The sequence below is a fragment of the Homo sapiens genome, chromosome 6 (assembly GCF_000001405.40).
Source record: "Homo sapiens chromosome 6, GRCh38.p14 Primary Assembly".
NCBI classification, from domain to species: Eukaryota; Metazoa; Chordata; class Mammalia; order Primates; family Hominidae; genus Homo; species Homo sapiens.
This window is the reverse complement of record NC_000006.12, coordinates 157,618,385-157,639,570: the sequence shown is the minus strand read 5'-3', so window position 1 is coordinate 157,639,570 and position 21,186 is coordinate 157,618,385. Positions and strand designations below refer to the sequence as shown.

Below are 21,186 nucleotides of genomic sequence, written 5' to 3'. Positions count from 1 at the left end.
CAGCACTTTGGGAGGCCGAGGTGGATCACTTGAGGTCAGGAGTTCAAGACTAGCCTGGCCAACATGGTGAAACCCCATCTCTACTAAAAATATAAAAAATTAGCCGGGCTTGGTGGCGAGCGCCTGTAATCCCAGTTACTTGGGAGGCAGAGGCAGGAGAATAGCTTGCACCTGGGAGGCGGAGGTTGCAGTGAGCCGAGGTCTCGCCACTGCATTCCAGCCTGGGCAAAAGAGTGAGACGCCATCTCAACAACAACAACAAAAGAAAAAAATGTTCTTTAAAACAAGCATCAAAACCCAGCACTGATGATGTCATTTACCTGCCAGCATGCAGGGGATGAAGGGACCTCACCCCCTTAGTCTTCAACATTGTCAAGCCTGCCCCCACCCCATCGGGGTTTAGCTATCACAGCCCCTCCCAGTTTTCTGTCGCACACTTGGGTGTGTAAGTGCACCTGTGTGCTCACACGATGCAGGGCAGACCACATGTTGATGGGGAGCCCTGCCTCCTTTTGATGCTCAGCCAAAGCGGGCACCCTGCCCAATGTGGAGTGCGTGGGCACAACACCAGGATGCCAGGCATGGCCCTGCAGATGGGCTGCCCCTTCCTGATAGCCCCTGGCACCATCCTCTGGGCCTTGCTCAGGCTGTGGGCGCTGCCTGGGACCTCTCCCTCCATGTCCCCCACTAGAACCCACCCATCTCCCACAGCCCTGCACGGAGGTCCCTGCCACTGCCTCTCCTGATGTCCCTGCAGGACACCCCACCCCAAGCACAGGCTGTGTCTTTTTCATGGCACCCAACCCTTATTCTGCATAAGGAGTCCTAGTGAGAACCCAGATCTGGGCAGCAGCAGATGCTGGCAGAAGAGGGCGAGACGGTGCATTTGTGTGTCTCCCCGCTGTCATCCTTCCAGGGCCCAGGCGGATGGTTCTCGACCTTGTGACCTGTCAGGTTTTGCCCATGGTGGCTGTTGAGTAGAATGGTTTTACAGGAAATAGTTGCTGAGTGGATCTCCTTTGTTTGAACATGCCTGGCTGTGTGGACAGAGGGCCCAGTCCCTTTTTTTTTTTTGAGAAGTCTCTCCATTTGTCTGTGTCCATGGAGAAGGCCAGGGGGCTCTTGTCCATGGTACGGGGCAGCCGCTCCATGGCCACAGGCCCTGAGAGGCCCCTCCCCACTGCCTCTGCTTCTCTGATACAAAGAAAAGGGGAGGAAATGGAGTTTGGTGCAGGCAATGGGAGGTGGGAAGGAAGGAGTAGGAGGAGGACGGAGGGAGGGAGAACCGACTATGGACTCTGAGCCAGAAGTGCACCCTCCAAGGCTGCATCCCAGCAGTGGGCACCCTGCCCTATCCCTCACCCCTGGGAGGGCTGATGGTGCAGACTGGGAAGGGGCCTGCTGAGCACCTGAAAATGAGTCAGGCATTCTGTCACAGTCATCTAGGGCCTCCTCTACTCCCCTGCCTCCACCTCCCTCTCCTCCCTCCCTCTCCCCCTGGGCTGGCCACACTCTGGCACTAGATACCACCCAGTCCGGGCTTACTTACAGTAGAAGCTACTCGGTTCCTTTCTCCTAAAGTTCTGCTGGGTTTTATGTGGGCCTGATGAAGAGCTTTCAGTGTATCAATGTTTCCATCATTGACACTGATATTTCTGCCAAGGTGTCTTAGATGGTTGTCTATTAGCCATTTTTGTTTCTAATCTCTCTCGCTTCCTCAATGACATTGTTTTTAGTTGGATATTTTGCAGAGTAAATCTGCTGTGAGAAAGCTTTGCCTGTGCCCTTATTTCTCGTCAAAATATTTTTATTGCATGGTCAGGAAATTAGATATGAGGTCACTGAAAATGTGAAAATATAAGTTATTGTCTTGCCCGAGAAAACGCTGCAGAGGTCACTTGCAGAGGTTCCTCTAGACTCCAGTCCTGTGCTCAGGCAAGTCAGCTGGGAAACTTCCTTCAGTTTTAAAAACTTGGGACTTTACAGATTCTTGCTCTGGATGGAGTACAGATTTGGAGAGGACAAAGCGTGGGCAGCTCTGCCATCAATCAAAGGACGGCTTTTATGAGTGTGCCCCAGATCAAACTCATCCATCATAAACCAGCCACCCCAACAGACACTCTCAAGCTCTCAGGATCTCAGCAGCGGAAGGGGCTGGGAGGTCTTGAGTTTAGCATTTCTCTAATGCTAGAATCCCCCACCACACTGACAAGCAGGACCCATCTTCCTTTCTAGCACTCCCAGTCACTGTGATCCAGGGCTTCTGCGGGCCAGACCCCTGAGTGGCCCTTGACTTTGGCACACTCTTCCTCAGGAGCTACAGGGCTTCACCACATAAGCTCCCGCTGGCATTCCCATGCCACCTCCAAAGCCACAGGTGTCCAGAGGAAAGACAGGCACCAAAAATACCAACAGATGTGCTGATGGGATCCAGCCCTACTCAGCACATGGTTCTCTAATAACCAGAACTAATGTTTTTTCAAAAACACACAGCAATCCAGTAGCACCCAACGCATGCTTACTCTTCCGGAACACAAACTTAGGATAAATAATCTGTGCAATACTTCTTAATAGACTCACTGGAGGAGGAACTCTTCTCCAAGGCACATATTTCAAACAGAAAGCACCCTGTCGGAACACAGAACCTTTAGGCAACCACAGCATCGATGAGGGGAGGGGCGTCAGTGGCACACCGAAGAAATGTCTCTGTACTTTGCACGTTAAAGCACCCAGCACCTTGCTTCGCAGAGTGGGTGTGTGTCTGATGTTCTTGAAATTCACTCCTGCTTCCAGAAAGGATTAAGGAGACCCAGGCTAGGGTGCTGCCCACACTGCTCACTTCTCCTGCGCTAGGAACAGCTTTGCTGGCTCTTCCCAGACCTTGCTTTTAGACCCCACTTTTCTCCAGGGGGAATGGGGTTTTGTTAGGGTCTTTTTCTTGGCTGCCCTGGGATATTCTGGGTTTAAAGTTAAGTCTCCTTTTCCCAGGCAGGAGCCCAGCAGGACCTCGGGTCCATAATGTAGGTGCCACAAGACCAAGCAGGGAGCGAATCAGCAGGAGGGAAGTGAGGATGGGCAGCCTCCCTGTGAGCAGCGTGGGCCAGCAAGGGCCTTCGGGGTATCCCGCGAGCATTTCCAACCTGAACTCTGGGGAGGACATGTCTGTCTACATCTGTACTTACTGATAGACATACAGATATAGATGCATGCACACACACACACACACACACACACTTATATATCCTTATATAGTCCTTATATATGTGTGTGTGTGCGTCTATAGCTATATACACATGTATATATGAGGGCTTAAAAATACATACATACACACACATCTAAGGATAGACAGCGCTGTGTGTGTGTGTGTGTGTTTAAATCCATCAAGTGACCTGTGCGATGAGGGATGTGTGTTTCTTTCAGGCTCTACGCCCTGGCTGACATTTTGGAAGGCCTTGGCTGGAGGTGCGGGTGTGGCCTGCGTCTGGGTTTTTAGGACCTGCATGCGGTCAGCAGGCTGTGGCTGCCCTGCCCCTGAGTGTGGAGGAGGTGCCGGGAACTCCTGCAAGGGGGAGCGCCTGGCTGTGGGAGGAAAGAGTCAGCACCCAGATGAGGAAACACTATTTGGAAAGGCAGCGGCTGAGACTTCTATGCGTTTTCAAAAACTGGGCCAATAGGGAAAACTCTTTACCTCCATCCGAGAATGATTTTTAGGGGAAAATAAAATTTGCTCTGGCCTGAATAAGTAAGAGCATCTCTTTTCCTCCCTTCCCTTCCCGCACTCCTTCCCGCTGCAGGCTCCGGGCACGGCCAGCACGCTACTGCCACGCTTGCTTCCTAACAGCAGCACCGGTCTGTGCCCCTAAGGGGGATGCCGTGTTCCTGGTTCTGCAGACTGTCAGCCCAGCCACACCATGCAGCGTGCAGACGTGTGCTCTCAAAGAAGGTTCTGGCAGAGTCTCTTTGAAATCCCTCTGGCCACACCTGGAAGCCGTGCTTTGGAGCTGAGTCTTTCCTGTATTTCCTGAATAACTGACTTTGTCAGCATATCATTGTCAAGTACATAGTGGTTGACTATTGCAGGTCAAAAAATTGAGACACAAAAGGGTTAAGAAATGACTCCGGACCTCATAATTAATTGCCATGGAGCAGGTATTAAAAGATTTGACCCCAGTCCAGGACTGCCTACTTGGTCTCTAATAACAGCCCTTCTGGGATCTTGATAGGATAAGATGCATGACTTGGGAGGTCTGTCAGGAGCTCTGATAAAGACCAGGCAGTGGCTGGGCGCGGTAGCTCACGCCTGTAATCCCAACACTTTGGGAGGCCGAGGCAGGCAGATCACGAGGTCAGGAGTTCAAGACCAGCCTGACCAACATGGTGAAACCCCGTCTCTACTTAAAATATAAAAATTAGCCAAGTGTGGTGGCACAGCACCTGTAATCCCAGCTACTCAGGAGGCTGAAGCAGGAGAATCGCTTGAACCCGGGAGGCGGAGGTTGCAGTGAGCCGAGATCGTGCCAGTGCACTCCAGCCTGGGCGACAGAGTGAGACTCCGTTTCAGGGGGAAAAAAAAAAAAAGACCAGGTAGCAACAAGGCCACTCTACACACAGCCCCTCTATGCTCCACCTGAAGGGTGGCTCCCAGGGGACACGTACGGAGCAGAAGCCGCCAGCAGGCCAGACACAAGGCAGCTGGAATGACCAGGCTTTGAGGGTGGCCTTTCTCAGCAGCGAGGAAGTGCTTCCCCCTCCCAGCCGAGAGGCACTCCTGTGTTGGATATTTGTGTCTGAAACATGCACCAGGCCTCCTGCACACGCACAGGGTTTCAGGGAGGCACAGGTGCCAGGACAGAATTGGGGGGAGTTGGCTGAAGCTGCCACATATGTGAGGCTTCAGAAAATCTTCCAGCTGGCAGCCCGGGCCCCAGTGCCAGTTCTGAGGCACATTTTTAAAACTTAATGTGACCAGCATGCTTTCATGACACAAACGGTTCCTTGTAAGACTTAGGCAAGCCTTTTCTTTAGGAAGGGAGAGGCGACTTGGCTATGAGCTTTGAGGAAGCAATGTTCTCTGAAAACAGAAGGGCACAGAGAGGTGATAGTGGGGGGATGTCACCCCTGGTAGAGTTGGGGAGAGGAACGGAGGAGGACATTTCTCGCTGGACCTGATCCTAATAGCACAGGTATTGAAGATTTCATTCATTCCCTGGGCCACCTTTCCTTCCAGTCAACTTCTTCCCAAATCATTAATAGAAGACATGACCTATTTGTTGAATTTATCCTCCAAGTCCCCTTTGTACATCTTCCTTATGTCCCAGGCCCCATCCACAGTACAGATCTGAGTTTAAAAAGTATTAGTTGACGATAGAATCTGGACCTGTAACCAACATCCTATGCTGCCCACAAACACAGAGGTACTGGAAAAAGAGATACCATCTATTATGGAAACATATATATATATTTATATTTATAGGATCACATTTGTTTTTAGATGTATCGAAATCCCTCCCCTGCTCAAACACACATACCAGTTCTCAGGGACATGGCAGGTTGACTTTAAGAACATGATACATACATAAGTCATATTAAAGTTCTTCATTCTTAAGAAATCCCTACCTTGCTGGGTGTGGTGGCTGATGCCTGTAATCCCAACACTTGGGGAGGGCCAGGTGGGCAGATCACCTGAGGTCAGCAGTTTGAGACCAGCCTGGCCAACATGGTGAAACCCCGTCTCTACTAAAAATACAAAAATTAGCCGGGCATGGTGGCACATACCTGTAATCCCAGCTACTTGGGAGGCCGAGGTTGTAGTGAGCCAAGATCGTGCCACTGCACTCCAGCCTGGGTGGGTGATGGGGTAAGACTTGGTCTCAAACAAAACAAAACAAACAAAAACGAATAATTCCCTTCCTCAAGACGGAAATTACTCTGAAGAGTAATGAGAAGTTCAAGTCCAGTCTACCTGATTATATGAGGAAGAAAGAGAACTGGGTCACTGACGAGCCAGATCAGGGGGTCCCATCTGTATTAAAGCCTGGGGCCCCTGGGAGGGATAGGACCTCATTCAAGCACTTAATGGGCACACGCTTTTCTTTCAAGATTCAAAATACTATGGTCCATCCCCATATTTATGCTTGGGAGGATGGGAATCCTCCTCATTAATCCAAATGACTTGAGACTGACCATTTTTAATCTATTCAGGGTTTAAAAGGGTGTTCTGTTCCTGGAAATAATACAGTAATCCGAATGGCAAACTGTAACCCCCAACAGAATCGGAACAGAGGGGTCTGAGGACTCTCACCTGGTGACTGCATGCCAGGATGCAACCCACACGTGGGCATCCCTACATGTTCTGTGTGGACCACCTGCCAATCAAAATGAGATCAGTTGCAGCTCACAGCCCTACTTCTCCCCAAACCAACCTGACTGAACACAAATCCATGCTGATTTCTGGGGGTGGATAAGAATTCATACTTGGCTTCCTAGCCCTCGATTTAAACAGGCTGAGTCACTCAGGGATGGAAGTAGTCAGAAGCTACTACTCGTGCCAGTGAATCTGAGGGAGTTCTTTGGAATAAGATACATGAGAAGCAAGGCCGGGGCAGAAGATGAGGAGGTGTGCGCACAGAAGGTCAGCCAGATACTCAACACATTAGCATCGTGAAAACAGAATCATCACAAAGGATATCTTGCAGGACTGTCCTTAAGGGCATTTAGGAATCCTGTTTGCTGTGAACCTGTGGGAATGAAACCAACATTTAGTATTCAGATAGAAACAGCCTTCATGCTGAATGCTCTCTCATCTACAAAAAAATAATAGATGGCTAAAGATCAATGAAATAATTCTATTTTGTAAGTGCTACGACACCCAGTTTACCGATCAGAGATTGAGATGCCACTAAAGTTTTTCATCAAGAAAATGGAGGATTCATAATTAGGCCCAACATCTGCAGGGTATTTTTTCAATAAAAGCAGATGGATGTCTGCACACTTTCCCGTAAATTATAGTTCTGATGACTCCTTTGTTTTCCTCATTTTAATAGGAAAACAGAATACTGTATGCTATCTTTTCTCTTCTGTTTTCCCCAAATTTGTTAACTTTTGACCCTGGAAGTTCTGGAAACTAGGCTACGTATAAAAGAATTCTTTTTCTACACCCAGAGTAAACAAAGTCATAAAGCTGAAATTTATTAGACTTCTCTTGGGCTTTAGACATTTTAATATGAGCTGTCTTAGGCAAGAAAACATTTCTTTAGGGGCTTGAATAAAGAAGCATCTGACAGAAAGCAATTTTTATTTTATGCATTGACATCATACTTTTAAAAATAAAAATGGAGGTAGTTTTAACAATTCCATCTTAGGGTAGCGGTGCCAGGTCCCTCTGTGCTGTGGGAAGCCAGTGAGCCTCTGGGGACATCATCCGGCCCTCGTGCACCAAGGAAATGACACACTCTACGGGTGCTATGGTGTCCCTGTGGCATCTGACCACAGGCCCAGCTGCACTGTGGGACTCAGTGGCAGGGGGTGAGTGGCCACCGTGTCCCCATGTGCCCCACTATGGGCGACACCTGGGAGGGTGAAGAGTGGCTTGGCTCCCTATTCTTCCCAAGGTCCCTTTCCCTCTGTGCCCACGGCCCATGTGTCTGAGTAGTGGGACACAGTGTGTGGGAGGGGCTGTGAAGAGAAGCTGCGTGGAGCGCTAATCAGGAGAGATGGTGCTTAAGGCTTTCTCCTCCATCTCTGCCAGCCCCAAAGGGCACAGACGCAAGTGCCTGTGCGGCCATGTGGAGCAAACACAGCCTTGAGGCAGATGAGGGACCAAAAGAAATGATTTCTGTTTGTCTACTGCACCCTAATTATGTGGCTGGCCTAAGCCCTCCTTCCTCTCCAAGGAAATCCAGACTTCGCCTTCCCAGGAATCTTGGAGGCCACAGAAATCTCTCCCGCCCCTCCCTGTCTGGCCTTTCCCTAAGAGCCCAGGATCCCACAGAGAGACTCAGATGACAGCTCTCCTCTCTGCCTGTGCCAATGTTTTCTGAGGCTTAAGAGGGTAACAGGAGCCGTGGAAACCCTGTGCCCTTCCTGAAGCATCACATGCCAAGCCAGATAGGGTGGTGGGGTCGTGTCGTGGGGGTCACTGATGAGGGGGTGTCAAACAAGGGAAAAGGGAAAGTTTTATTTGCTTTTGCCCAGGATATTCCAATAACTTGCAGGCAGGTAAATTCTTAATACTTTTGTGTAGAAGAAGAGATGAACAGTATTTAAGTATAGACTATGGTAAAATCCAGTTTGGTGGAGCCAGGTGAGTAAAACCTTAGAGGAGCTAAAAGTGAAACACACATCGCAACCTGAGTGTGGTGGCAGGCACAGATTTCACCGTGAGAGTGTGTGAGAGCATGTGAGTGTGCAACGGTATGTGAGCGAGCACGACAGCATGTGAGTGCGAGAGTGTGAGCATATTGGTGACTATATATGAGTGTGGGTGTAGCTAGAGTGTGAGTGTGGGTGTATAAGGGTGTGTGGGGGTAAGGGTATGTGTGTGAGTGGGTGTGTAAAGGTGTGAGAGTGTGGGTGTGTAAGGGTGTGTGTGAGTGTGGGTAAGGGTGTGTGTGAGTGTGGGTGTGTAAGGGTACATGTGAGTGTGACAGTGTAAGGGTATGAGTGTGTAAATGTGGGTAAGGATGTGTGTGTAAGGCTATGTGTGTGTGAGCTTATTGGTGAGTATATATGAGTGGCTAGAGTGAGTGTGGGTGTCCAAGGGTATGTGTGTGGCTGTGTAAGGGTATGTGTGTGGGTGTGTAAGGGTGTGTGTGGGCGTGTACGAGTATGTGTGTGTAAGGCGGTGTGTGGGTGTGTAAGGGTATGTGTGTGAGCTTATTGGTGAGTATATATGAGTGTGAGTATGGCTAGTATGAGTGTGGGTGTGTAAGGGTACATGTGTGAGCATATTGGTTATACATGAGTGTGGCTACCGTGAGTGTGAGTGTGTAAGGGTGTGTGGGTGTGTAAGGGTATGTGAGAGTGTGGGTGTGTAAGGATATGTGTGAGTGTGAGCGTATTGGTGAGTATATATGAGTGTGAGTGTGGCTAGAATGAGTGTGGGTAAGAGTGTGAGTGTGTGTGAGTCCATAAGCATGCGTGTGTGTGTTCCCTGAGTTTAGGTATATGACTAAGCACGTGGCAACTGGCCCTTGACATCCACAATGCAGGGACAAGGCCATAAATACAATCCCATAATACACACAAAAGCATCTTGAGGTTGTGAAAGGTGATATAAAAATACAATGTCTAGGCCGGGTGGGGTGGCTCACGCCTGTAATCCCAGCACTTTGGGAGGCCGAAGCAGGCGGATCACCTGAGGTCAGGAGTTTGAGACCAGTCTGGCCAAGATGGTGAAACCCTATCTCTACTAAAAATACAAAAATCAGCCGGGTGCTGTGGCCCACGCCTGTAATCCCAGCTACTCGAGGCAGGAGAATTGCTTGAACCTGGGAGGCAGGGGCTGCAGTGAGCCGAGATCCCGCCACTGCACTCCAGCTGAGGCAACAGAGCGACACTCCATCTCAAAAATAAAAATAAATAATGTCTAAACACTGCTTTTCAGTGTTACGTGTGTGCTGGAGGATCGGTTCGTATTTCTTCCCTAGTTGTGTCAACAACTGCTTCTTTGAAAATAACATATAATGCCCTAGTCATTCTCTCTGCTTCTTTTGTCTATTAATGCACAGATAGGACCCTAGCCACATTTTTGCCATTTTGAGGACTTTGAAAATAGAGGGAGAGGGTGCCCCTGTCTGCATCCTGCCCAGCTGATGTGGAAAAGGCGGGTGTCCATTGTCCTCTTGCAAGCCCACCAAGTCATGGCTCTCAAGCACATATTACACATTTGTGTCACGTTTGGATGAAAGATTATAGTCAGAAAGAATGGCAACTAGGATTGAAAGTACCTATGAAAATTTGGGATGTTCCATTTAACGGCCCAATTTGACTAATATTCAAAAAGAATGAATGCAAAACATTCTCTCCCACCCACTTCCCCACCCCCATACGAACCCACCAGAAGAGAAAGGGAGGAAGATGTACTCCTAACGTGAGCCTGAGCCCAGCCCACGCCATTTGTGGTTTGAGCACCGCGGCCTGGGAAGGAAGTGAAGCCGTTGTGCAGATACTTACGGAAACATTCCAGAAAGAAGCTACGGACTTGCTAATGAAGGGTTATGCTTCAGGAATGCGGACAAGAGGCAAGGCTAGTGCTTAGTGTTGCTGTTGGTACTGTAATGGAAGTTCAAAGGCCTAAATTTATAACTCAAGGCAAATTCACTTCCTTCTCATCACTTTCTATTGTAGAAAAGTGAATGACCAAGAGACAAAAGCAATTCAAAGTTATAACCCTCAGAATGGAAAATGAAAAAATGCCATTTGCTTAGGCAAATAGATATTAAAATAATTGATTTCCAAATCTAATTTTTAATCAAAGTTGCTTCCTTTATATATATGCCAGGGGTAGTTAGCTCATGTTCTAGCAGATACGTAAACATCTTGTCAAATGTATGTTTTTAACCTATATAGATTTGTGTGCAAGAAAACCTAGTCTTTCTCACCAGACATCTTTTCTAGGGAGGGTGACTGGTGACTGTTCTTACATAAGGAGATTATCACATTAAGGAAGAAAACTCTGCTCTTCAATGGTCATCACTGCAGCACATTGTCCTTTGTGCAAAATGTGGGGATGAGTCTTCCAGGGGACCCCTTAGCAGGAGAAAAAGTGAGGTCACTGAGGTTGGAATAGGGATGTGCGTATCAAGGAGGAGGTATTGTTTGGTGAAAGCGCAGCCTGGCCTAGGTGCGACCCCTGGAAAGTGCTGTGAAAGATGGGGTGGGGAGTGGGGGATGACAGGGGACGGAGGAGGGATGGAGGAGGGTGAGAAACAAAAGCGAGGCAGGCTGGAAGTGAGGAGGGGAAAGGGAGAAAGAAAGGGAAAGAGAAAGCCCGAAATGACCAAAATATTAAATCAAAATCAAATAGGAAAATCAAAGTCAGGCAAATGGTTACATACGTAATCTGATTTCGCCAGCATACTTACGAAGAATGACGTGGGTGATAACGAATGCAAATATAAAGACTGTCAGAAAAGACAGAGATAAAATAAACATATAAAAAAATCTGTAGTTTCTTTTCCCCACACAGTTGCCTACCCAGGGACAGTGGTGATCAAACCGTTCTGAAATGAGAGGCAGAAAAAAAAAAAAAGTGGAAATCAATTAATAAAATGTCTTTTTACTTGCAGGAGCCCCGCCCCTCCCACCCAATACTCTGATAGTATAACACAATGATATTATTCTGCATATTTCCAAATTAACCACTCAGAGAAATGTTTCTCATCAAGACAGTTCAAGGACATCGTCATTCTTTCAACAGAACGTAGCTGTTTTGAAAAAACAAAGCATATGCATTCTTCTCAAATGGCAACTTAAAGAAACAGGAGGGCAAATTCTCATTTCTTTTGGAAAGTAAAGATTCCTCTCTTTGGTAAAAGAAACTTCTTTGCATTCACTGAACAACCTTCCCTTAAGAGGGAACCAACACCGCCTGATGGTAAGTTCTGGGCTGGGGCTGGATGTCGATCAAGTGACCTGCATTGCATAGTAAATGGCCATAGAGAGAGGCCACAAGGGGCCTGGGACAGGACAGAGGGACAATCCTTTGTCCTCAGTTACAACCGTTCAGCAGATATCCATCACATTTATTAATGCATTGGGCCTCAAAACATTCCTATGAAGAAAACGATGGTGTTACCCTATTTTACAGATGGGCAAACTGAGGCTTACAGAGATGGGAGACTGCCTGCACGGGGCCATTCAGCTCAGAAGCAGTGGAACTAGAACTTGAGGCCATGCCTTTCAGAGCTGCTCCCATCTTCTTACTGTCCATGCCGCCTCTGGCACTTTATAAATGACAGAGGGTCCGATATGGGCATCATCACATGGTTACCCATGGTACCCTAAGTGCAGACCCCAGGCCTCTCACCTGGACATCTGCACACAAAGTCTGTAATGCATTTGAGATTTGTTCTTCCCCTTGCAAGTAATGGCAAAGGGCTTCTCTTGACTACTCAGCTGATCTTCTATTGAGAACACCATTCTAACATACTCGCTCATACAAGACTGCCTGTGGCGGCTGGGGAGGACACCGCTGGGCATATGACTTAGCTTTCTCCTCCGGCTGTTTTCTAAGCTGAACTTGTATCCAGTTTTCATATTTTATCTATCTCTATGTGCTTGAAAATATACCGGGAGTGCTATATGAGGTGTGACCATATAAATAAAACATTATAAACTTAGGCAAGGCAGTCAGTATCATGACTTTCTGGTCATGTATCATAAATCGGTCATCTTGCATTTTTGGTCAAATGCAAGCTTGTTTCTTGAAAAGGGCATGAGGACACCTGAATGATAGTGGCGGCAGAGGAAGTGCAAGATAATCATTGCTGCCTGCCAAGTGGTAGTAATAAGAAACAGCCAATCTGAGCAGAGGACTTGAGGAGAGATTTCAGAGCTCCCTGGCTTGGTGATAAGCTGATGGCCTATAAGATGCTGACACTCAGGGAAAATAATTTGTATAAGCCTACCCATGTGAGTTACATGTTAACATGTGTTGCTGCCCCCGCCGCCCCCCCCCCAGCTGGAAAAGCAAACCCTGAATAAAAACAACCTCCCTGGGGCTGGGGAGGGCTGCACAGGTGTATCGGGTGTATCACAGAGAATACCCGGGGCCGGGGAAATACTCTGTGTGATACTGGAATGACAGAAACATGCAATCCATACGTTTGCCCAAAGCCACAGAATGTACCACACCTAGAGTGAACCCTAATGTAAACTGTGGACGTTGCATGATAGTGATGTATCAATGCACGTTCATCAATCCTGCCAAATTTATCCACTATGATGGGAGATGTTGATAATGGGGGAGGCTGTGCATGTGGAGGGGAGGGGGAGATGGGAACTCTCTGGACCTGCCTCTCAATTTTGCTGTGAACCTAAAACAGCTCTAAAAAAAATTAAGTGTTTAAATATTGACAACGAACAAACCTCATTTCCCCGAGTTACTGATCTGCACAGTCTGTATCATGAGAAATCTATCTATGTGTCAACGTGCACAGAGAGAAAAAAATCTGAATCAGCCAGAATTTCCTAAGACTTGGAGGCCATCATTTTGAGAAACCACTTTTCTTCTCAATGTATGACTACAGAAAATGGGCATGAGAGTGAAAGCTGGGGGCATAAAAGCACATGCTGGGATGGAATCTCCTATTCACTCTAGGAAAGCTGATCTCTCAATCCCACATGCGGTGGGTTTGAGCCTCTCAACTGAAGTGAAAATCGCCTATCAGCAAAGAAGAATGTAGGGTCTGGGAGGCATCGTTAACACCAGGTACACCCCATCTGAAGCATGAAGGTCTTGCAGCACACTACAGACCATTTCTACCATAGCAGGCAGGTTGTATTTTTAGCTTAGAAAGTTTAATAACAGCTAAGCTGTGACACTGTGCTTTCCCGACGGAGGCAGAGTAACTACTGAAATGAAAGCAACAGATGATGCGGACGAGACAGTTGCTCGTGGAGTCTGGGAGCTTCTTGGGAAACCAGCGCCGTCTTAGAGATGAGTGTGAACTCCTGGCTCTCCGGTAGCCCTGAGCTAAAAGCAGTTCCTGTCTAGAAACTTGTATTGAAAACTTTTTCTGGCAAACTATTTCTGGGATTTTAGTGGCAGGAATCCCACTAAAAATCTAGGCTCACCGAGAAATTATCCTACTGAATATTTTTCATGTCCTCTGTTGTGTTTGTTGAGTTTATGGTGGTAATGAGTCTGAGAGGCTCGGCGGGTGCCTCCGGGGAGTCAGAAAGCATCACAGTCCTCAGGCCGGAGTTCTCACTGGCCTAATCCCCACCCCACATTCTTACACCTCGAGCCTGCGTGCTCTCCCCACCTCCCTTTCTGTGCTTTCCTCTCTGCCCAACATCTGATGATCAGTTGCACCCAGGGTCTCTTTTCCATGGACTGTCTTTCTCTCTCACTGGCAATCCCTTTTCATCTCAAGGTCCAAATGCCACTCTACACTGATGACTCCAAAACGGCGGCCTCTCACCTTCAGCAACAGACTCCTGCTGCATGGCCTGACTGGCCCTCAGACTTGACTTGTCCTGGAGAGGACATCCTGTCCTCCCTCCCCAAACACGTGCCTCTTCAGACTCTCTATCTGACCAGTTGCTCAACTCAGAACCCCAGGCATCTTTCCTGACCCCGCCCTTTCTCTCACCCCCACATCCAAACCATGAGCAAGTCCTATCGGCTTTACCCTGGCTTCATCTGAAATCATCTGCTATGGTCTGAATGTGTCCCCCGAAGTTCGTGTGTTGGAAACTTAGTCCCCAGTGCAACAGTGTTGAGAGGTGGGGCATTGAAGAGGGGATGAGGTCATGAGGGCTCTGCTCTCATGAATGGCTTAGGATTAATGCTGTTATTGTGGGAGCGGGCTCCTGATAAAGGAATGATCCCCCTCCGCCTCTCACACTCTCTTGCCCTCCTGCCTTCTGCCATGGGAGGACACAGCAAGAAGACCCTTCAGATGTAGGCCCCGTGGCCGTGGACTTCCCAGCCTCCAGAACTGTAAGGACTAAATCTCTGCTCTTTATAAGTTACCCGGTCTGTGGTACTCTGTCACAGCAGCACAAAATGGACTAAGACATGCTCACATTTGTTTTTCACTTGTGCTTGTCTGCCAACCCTACTCTAAGCCTAACACACATTTGTCAAGTAACTGAATACACTCTCATCTTATCAAAAGGACATCTGCAGGAGTAAGTGCATTGCCCAAGGTCACACAGTTAGTGTATCGCAAAGCTGGGATGGGGGCCCAGCTCTATCTGTCTCCTAACCTGAGCTCCTGTCCATTAAATGCTACACTGCCTTTACTGAGTATTTTCCATGTACCCAGCACTGTATCAGGTGCTCGGAATACTAAGAAGAAACTGCCACAACATAGGACACCATGGCTTCAAAGAGTTCCTTGTGTTATTTGGTGAGGACACAATTTTCAGACACTAAAATATTCCTCAGATCCAAGGAACGAACTCCTAATTTAGCTTCCATGTCAGTCAGCTTGATTGCCATTGTTGGTAGCAGACAGCATTCTTTCTTTTCAGGTCAAGGATGAGAACAGGCCATGGAAAAGCAGGGAGACCTCACATGGTGGCCCATCCTGTCCTGCTGGGAGAGCCACCCTCCTGCCTCCAGCTCTGAATGCGCTCAGAGGAGCGGAAGCTAAAGAGCTGCTAGAGTTATACCTTCCAATGGGGAGGCTAGTGTCATTCAGTGTCCAGGATAGAAAGTTGGCAAGAATTAGGCACAAGCTGAGCTGGGAAGAGAGCAAGTGACTGCAACCAACACATGACATTGCTCTCAGGGGCCCAAGTGAACACATCTGAGAAGCTCCACACAGCCATATTTAGAGTATTATTTCTATACTTTCTGTGTGGAAAAATTGAATGGCTGTCCTGTGTGCCAGGGTAGGGTTAGGGGCACGTGTGATGGGAAGTTCTTTAAACAAACACTTTGAAGTTGTTGCCACATTCCTTGATTCTAAAGTTTGGGTCCTGCCAAAAGGGAGTGGTCTTTATACCACAGTATCACTGGAGGATTCCTTTATTTAAAAGATGTATTAGGGCTGGGTGTGGTGGCTCACGCCTGCAATCCCAGCATTTTGGGAGGCCGAGGCGGGCAGATCACGAGGTCAGGAGATCGAGAATATCCTGGCCAACATGGTGAAACCCCGTCTCTACTAAAAATACAAAAATTAGCTGGGTGTGGTGGTGTGTGCCTATAGTCCCAGCTACTCAGGAGGCTGAGGCAGGAGAACCGCTTGAACCCAGGAGGTGGAGGGTGCAAGCTGCAGTGAGCTGAGATCATGCCACTGCACTAAAGCCTGAGCGACAGAGCAAGACTCTGTCTCAAAAAAAAAAAAAAAAAAAAAGATGTATGAGTCTGTTCTCATGCTGCTATAAGGGCATACCCGAGACTGGGTAATTTATAAAGGAAAGAGGTTTAATCGATTCACAGTTCTGCAGGGCTGGCAAGGCTTCAGGAAACTTATAATCATGGTGGAAGGGGACGCAAACACATCCTTCTTCACAAGGCAGAAGGAGAGAGAAGAATGAGAGGCAAGTGAAGGGGGAAGTCCCTTATAAAACCATCAGGTCTCATGAGAACTCACTCACTATCATGAGAATAGCATGGGGGAAACTGCCCCCATGATTCAATTACCTCCCACCAGCTCCTCCCACCACACATGGGGATTATGGGAACTACAATTAAGGATGAGATTTGGGTGGGGACACAAAGCCTAACCATATCAAAAGATGAGGAGCTACTCCCTAAGAGCCAGCTGGTGAATGGAATACTGAGGGTGGGGGATGGCTGGAATACCTGGAAGGTTCTAGAAAATAACAAGATTGAGTTAGCTAGCCCGGGGATCCTGGCCATGCCTCTGGTGGCACCGAGCTGCCTGCAGTGACCTGTGGACCTGCTCTCCTCTTTCATCCAGCTGGCTCCCAGAGGGGAGGAATCATTTCTAGTCACCCTCAGAGCCCTGGCACCTAAGTGCCTGGCATGCAGTAGACACCCAGTAACTATGGATTAAGTAAAGGCAGAAATGTCTTCAATCTCGTTTAGTAGGTTTATGAGCGATCACTACTCCAGCTTGCCAGGTGAAGACACTGGCAAACGCGGGCAAAACATGAGATTCTAGGCATGCCAAGCACAAGACAAAACAGGGTTCCAGGACTTCTGCATACGTTCTGAGAAGGCTGAGAGCTGGGAGATACTGACTAGGTGCTAAGAGCTGACAACAGTTCACATGGATCAGCTCATGCAGAAAGAGTGGGAGGAGAGAGATAGTGGGAGGCAGGGGTGGTTTTACTCAAGCTCCATGGGGTACCAGTGAGAGCCCCAGAGGCTACAGTGGAATGCAAGTCACCTGCCCTCAGATCCTAAGTGGGCAAAGAAGGTTCCATTAAAGTGGTCAGTGGGAACATAGTTCAGGAAAAAGAGCTATGGTCCTATTTTGTGAACCTAAAACTCTAAATAATGATGAAAACAATTTTATTTTATTTATTTATATTTTGAAATGGAGCCTTGCTCTGTTGCCCAGGCTGGAGTGCAATGGTATGATCTCGGCTCATTGCAGCCTCTGCCTCCCGGGTTCAAGCGATATCTCCTGCCTCAGCCTCCCGAGTGGCTGGGACTATAGGCATGCACGCCGCCACATCTGGCTATTTTTTTTTTTTTTTTTTTTTTTGTATTTTTAGTGGAGATGGGATTTTGCCATGTTGGTCAGGCTGGTCTCGAACTCCTGACCTCAGGTGATCCACCTGCCTCAGCCTCCCAAAGTGCTGGGATTACAGGCATGAACACCATGCCCAGCCGAAAAGAATATTATTAAGGATTAAGGAAAGCTACCAGTTACTGAGTATCTGCTGGAAGCACCATTTCATTTAACTTGACAGCAGCCCTGGGGGTAGGCGCTATAATCCATATCTGACAGCGGAGGAAATCAGTCAGAAAGGTTAGGACACTGGCCCCATCCTGAGCTTAGTCAGCTGTGCCTTTCCTCAGATTAGAGGAAGATTTAATTTCTGGAAGAGATCAAATATGAAAAAGGGGCCTTAAAAATATGGAGAAGCAGAGAATTATTACAATAGGACAGGGACCAAAAACTCCACTGAAATATTGAGGGGAAAGTATTTGCAAAAGTTGTATCTGAAGGCTGCTGGAGATCGAACGAAATGTTTGGCAAGAAATGTTAAGAATTTGAACTCTCCCAGAAGTCGGGTTCTAACACAGGCCCTCAAGAGTGGATCCAGAGTTCAATAAAAATTATGTCCTGTGGCCAGGCATGGGTAATGGAGAGGGGACCCAGAGCCAGGATTCTGCATTTTCCATGCAGCGGTCACAGGCTCTTGGCAGACGGTGGCTCAGCTTGGTCAGGATGTGGGGAATGAGAATCCCAGCCTCGTTCCCCAAGAGCATCTTGAGAATCTGGTGGAAAATAGATGGAAATGTGCAATTGAAGTTTAAATTTCTAATTTAAATGTTAATCACATTTAAATTAAGTCGCATGTTTTTAAAGGTCTGAAGTAGAAAATACTTTTCTTTAAACGTAGGGCTTTTTTACCTCCAAAATTAGAAAAATTTTGCCCTATGAGGTATATTCCATTTGTTGTTTAGAAAGACGAAAGTTGAGATCCAGTGGTACATATTGTATCTGGCCTCTATGGTCACCACATAATTCATAAAATTATGCAATAGGAACATTTAAATATTAAACTAGCTGAAGGATTAGAGGACCAAGCCCTTCCTTAGACTGTAAATGATTCATGCGGCTCTAGGTCTTTTGGTAAGATCTAAGTTATAAAAGCTTTGCTACTGTGTCCGATGACTCAGGAGAGTTCTGAAAAGCAACTTCACCTGCCTTACTCCACCTTCCCCTGTTTTAATCTAATCTTTCTAACTGACCTTGCTTTGTGTTGGGCACTGTGCTAAGAATTTTACATGGACTGTGTCATTTAATTCTCATGAAACCAGATGAACTCAATGTTATTATTCCCATTTTGCAGGTAAGAAAAGTGCAGATGGAGGAGTCAGCATTGGAACCCACACGTTCATCTGCACCTCAGCCACCACCTGTGACTGCCTCACACTCCAATTCTCTGCTGGTTGCTGTGCCAGAGTGCCCTGAGGACCCAAAGCGTCTCTGCTGGAGCAGACACTCAGGCTGATCGGGTGATGGGTACCCAAGGCCCAGCATGGCAGCAGGAATGTGGCCACAATGGGACCTGCCACACCAGGCCTGGCCTTTGTGTCCAGGGTCCCTTGGGACTCTGCAGCACAAGAAAAGAACCTGCCCATGTGTGGAGATATCCACCCTCAATCAAGTCAAGGTGGCCTCATCCTCAGCAAAGTGAATGTTGGAAGAAGCAGAAACTTCTTACAGAGACATGGATTTGATAAAGCTGCTTGGCAAACATTATTGTTCCGATTGTGGAGCTTGGAGGGTGCTAGGGTTTGAATATTTGTCCCCTCTGAAACTCACATTGAAACTTAATCCACACTGTAGCTGTATTAAGAGGATAAGAAATCTGACTATGGTAATTGAGAGGTAATTAGGGGCAGCTGAGGCCATCAGGGTGAGGCCTTCATGGCTTCATAAGAGGAGGAAGGGAGACCTGAGCCAGCATGCCCAGCCCCCTCGCCATATGTGATGCGTTGGGCCACCTTGAGACTCTGCAGTGTCCCCATCAGCAAGAAGGCCCTCATCAGATGCATTCCCTCGATCTTGGACTTTCCAGCCTCCAGAACCCTAAGAAATAAATCCCTTTTCTTTGTACATTACATAGTCTCAGGTATTGTTATAGCAACAGAAAATGGACTAAGACAGAGGGTTCTCTTGGGTAAAGCAATGTATCAGGTATGGTTTCTTCCCCCACACTCTCTTCTCAGCTCCTTTTGTGAAAATAAGTCCTATCTGCTTAATTGTATGAAGAAACAAAATCAAGAAATCATATTAACTAATTCTGTGTCCTTAAACTATTATTATAGCACTTCCACATGGGGACTAAATTTCTTCACAGATAAAATGTTCAATTAGATAAGCTCTAAGATGCCTTTGAGCGGGAAAATCTAATGCACAATGACTCTGTTTTATTAGTATCTGCATGAATTCTTCTGGTTTTGAGTCCTTGACAGTGTTTTATAAATTAACATTCTGCAGCATTTAGCTCCATTTGTTAAAAAAAAAAAACAAACCCTAAAACTAAAACATTTCAGTGTAAAACCAATTAGTAAAATGTAGCACTGCTGTGACCTTTATGCTACAATGTAAAGTAACCTTGGACAGCAATGTGGCTGACTCTAAGGTGTCTCTCCCCTCCCCACCCAGGTCTCACTGGCTCCTGCCCTGGCCTTGCCACCACCTGGCAGGTGGCTAAGTCTCTATGGGCATGAAATGACGGAGCTTGACTACTAGACAACAGAGGTCCCTTCAGCTCCCCAAATAGGCAATTTTACACATTTCTATTTTCTTGTTTTCCAAGTTTGTTTAAATTCTGTTTTTGTTTTTGTTTTTGAGGTGGAGTCTCGCTCTGCCACCCAGGCTGGAGTACAGTGGTGCAATCTTGGCTCATTGCAACCTCTGCTTCCTGGGTTCAAGTGATTCTCTTGCCTCAGGCTCCCGAGTAGCTGGAATTACAGGCATGCAACACCATGCCCGGCTATGATTTTTTTTTTTTTTAATTTTTAGTAGAGACGGCGTTTCACCATGTTGGCCAGGCTGGTCTCGAACTCCTGATCTCAAGTGATCCACCTGCCTCGGCCTCCCCATAAATCCTGTTTTTTAACCCTGCTTTCCAAAATTGGGTGAATTTTGTGATTCAAGGAGGAGGACAAGTGTGCACTGCAGAGGCCGGCATTCTGAAGCAAGTGACACCCTGAGTAAGCTCTGCTGGGTAGAAACAAAGATGATTATGAAGCCATTGAGAAGATAAAGAAAGGCCTTGAGCGAGTGAGGAAGAAGGTGAAAAAAGATGGTTTCATTTGTAATGTAAATAATTCTTAAAAGGAGATGTAAACAAGTGAGTAGAAATGAGGATAATTTAAAAAGTGAATTGGCCAGTTAGGATCTGAAAGGAAATCCCACAATTCCCCAAATATAGTGTGTGGAGGGTCATCATATGAAATGAGAAATTTTAACTAGATGGGAAGGATTGAGTTCCCCCACCCAGCACTCTCCTATTTGCTAAGAATTGGAATAAGAGCCCACTGGAGAGGTCTCTGAGCTTCCTAGAATCTAGGAGCTGAATCAGGGCTCTGCGTCACCATGGTAAAATCCGTCATGTGGCCGGGCGCGGGGGCTCATGCCTGTAATCCCAGCACTTTGGGAGGCCGAGGTGGGTGGATCATTTGAGGTCAGGAGTTCGAGACCACCCTGGCCAACATGGTGAAACCCCGTCTGTATTAAAAATACAAAAATTAGCTGGGTGTGGTGGCAGGCACCTGTAATTCCAGCTACTCAAGAGGCCAAGGCACAAAAATCACTTGAACCCAGGAGGCGGAGGTTGCAGTGAGCCAAGATA

The 21,186-nt window shown here is 47.4% G+C and overlaps 1 protein-coding gene across 7 annotated transcripts in view; it reads right to left on the bottom strand.

Moving 5' to 3' along the window:
- ZDHHC14 (zDHHC palmitoyltransferase 14) overlaps positions 1-21,186 on the bottom strand; it is a 296,968-nt gene that overhangs the window by 38,587 nt on the left and 237,195 nt on the right. For all 7 annotated transcript variants that reach the window (NM_024630.3, XM_047419366.1, NM_153746.2 and 4 more), the window contains exons 4-5: positions 11,085-11,222; positions 6,689-6,737 (exon numbers count right to left, since the gene is read on the bottom strand). In NM_024630.3, coding sequence (NP_078906.2) covers positions 6,689-6,737; positions 11,085-11,222 — 187 coding nt within the window. The remainder of the gene's footprint in view (positions 1-6,688; positions 6,738-11,084; positions 11,223-21,186) is intronic.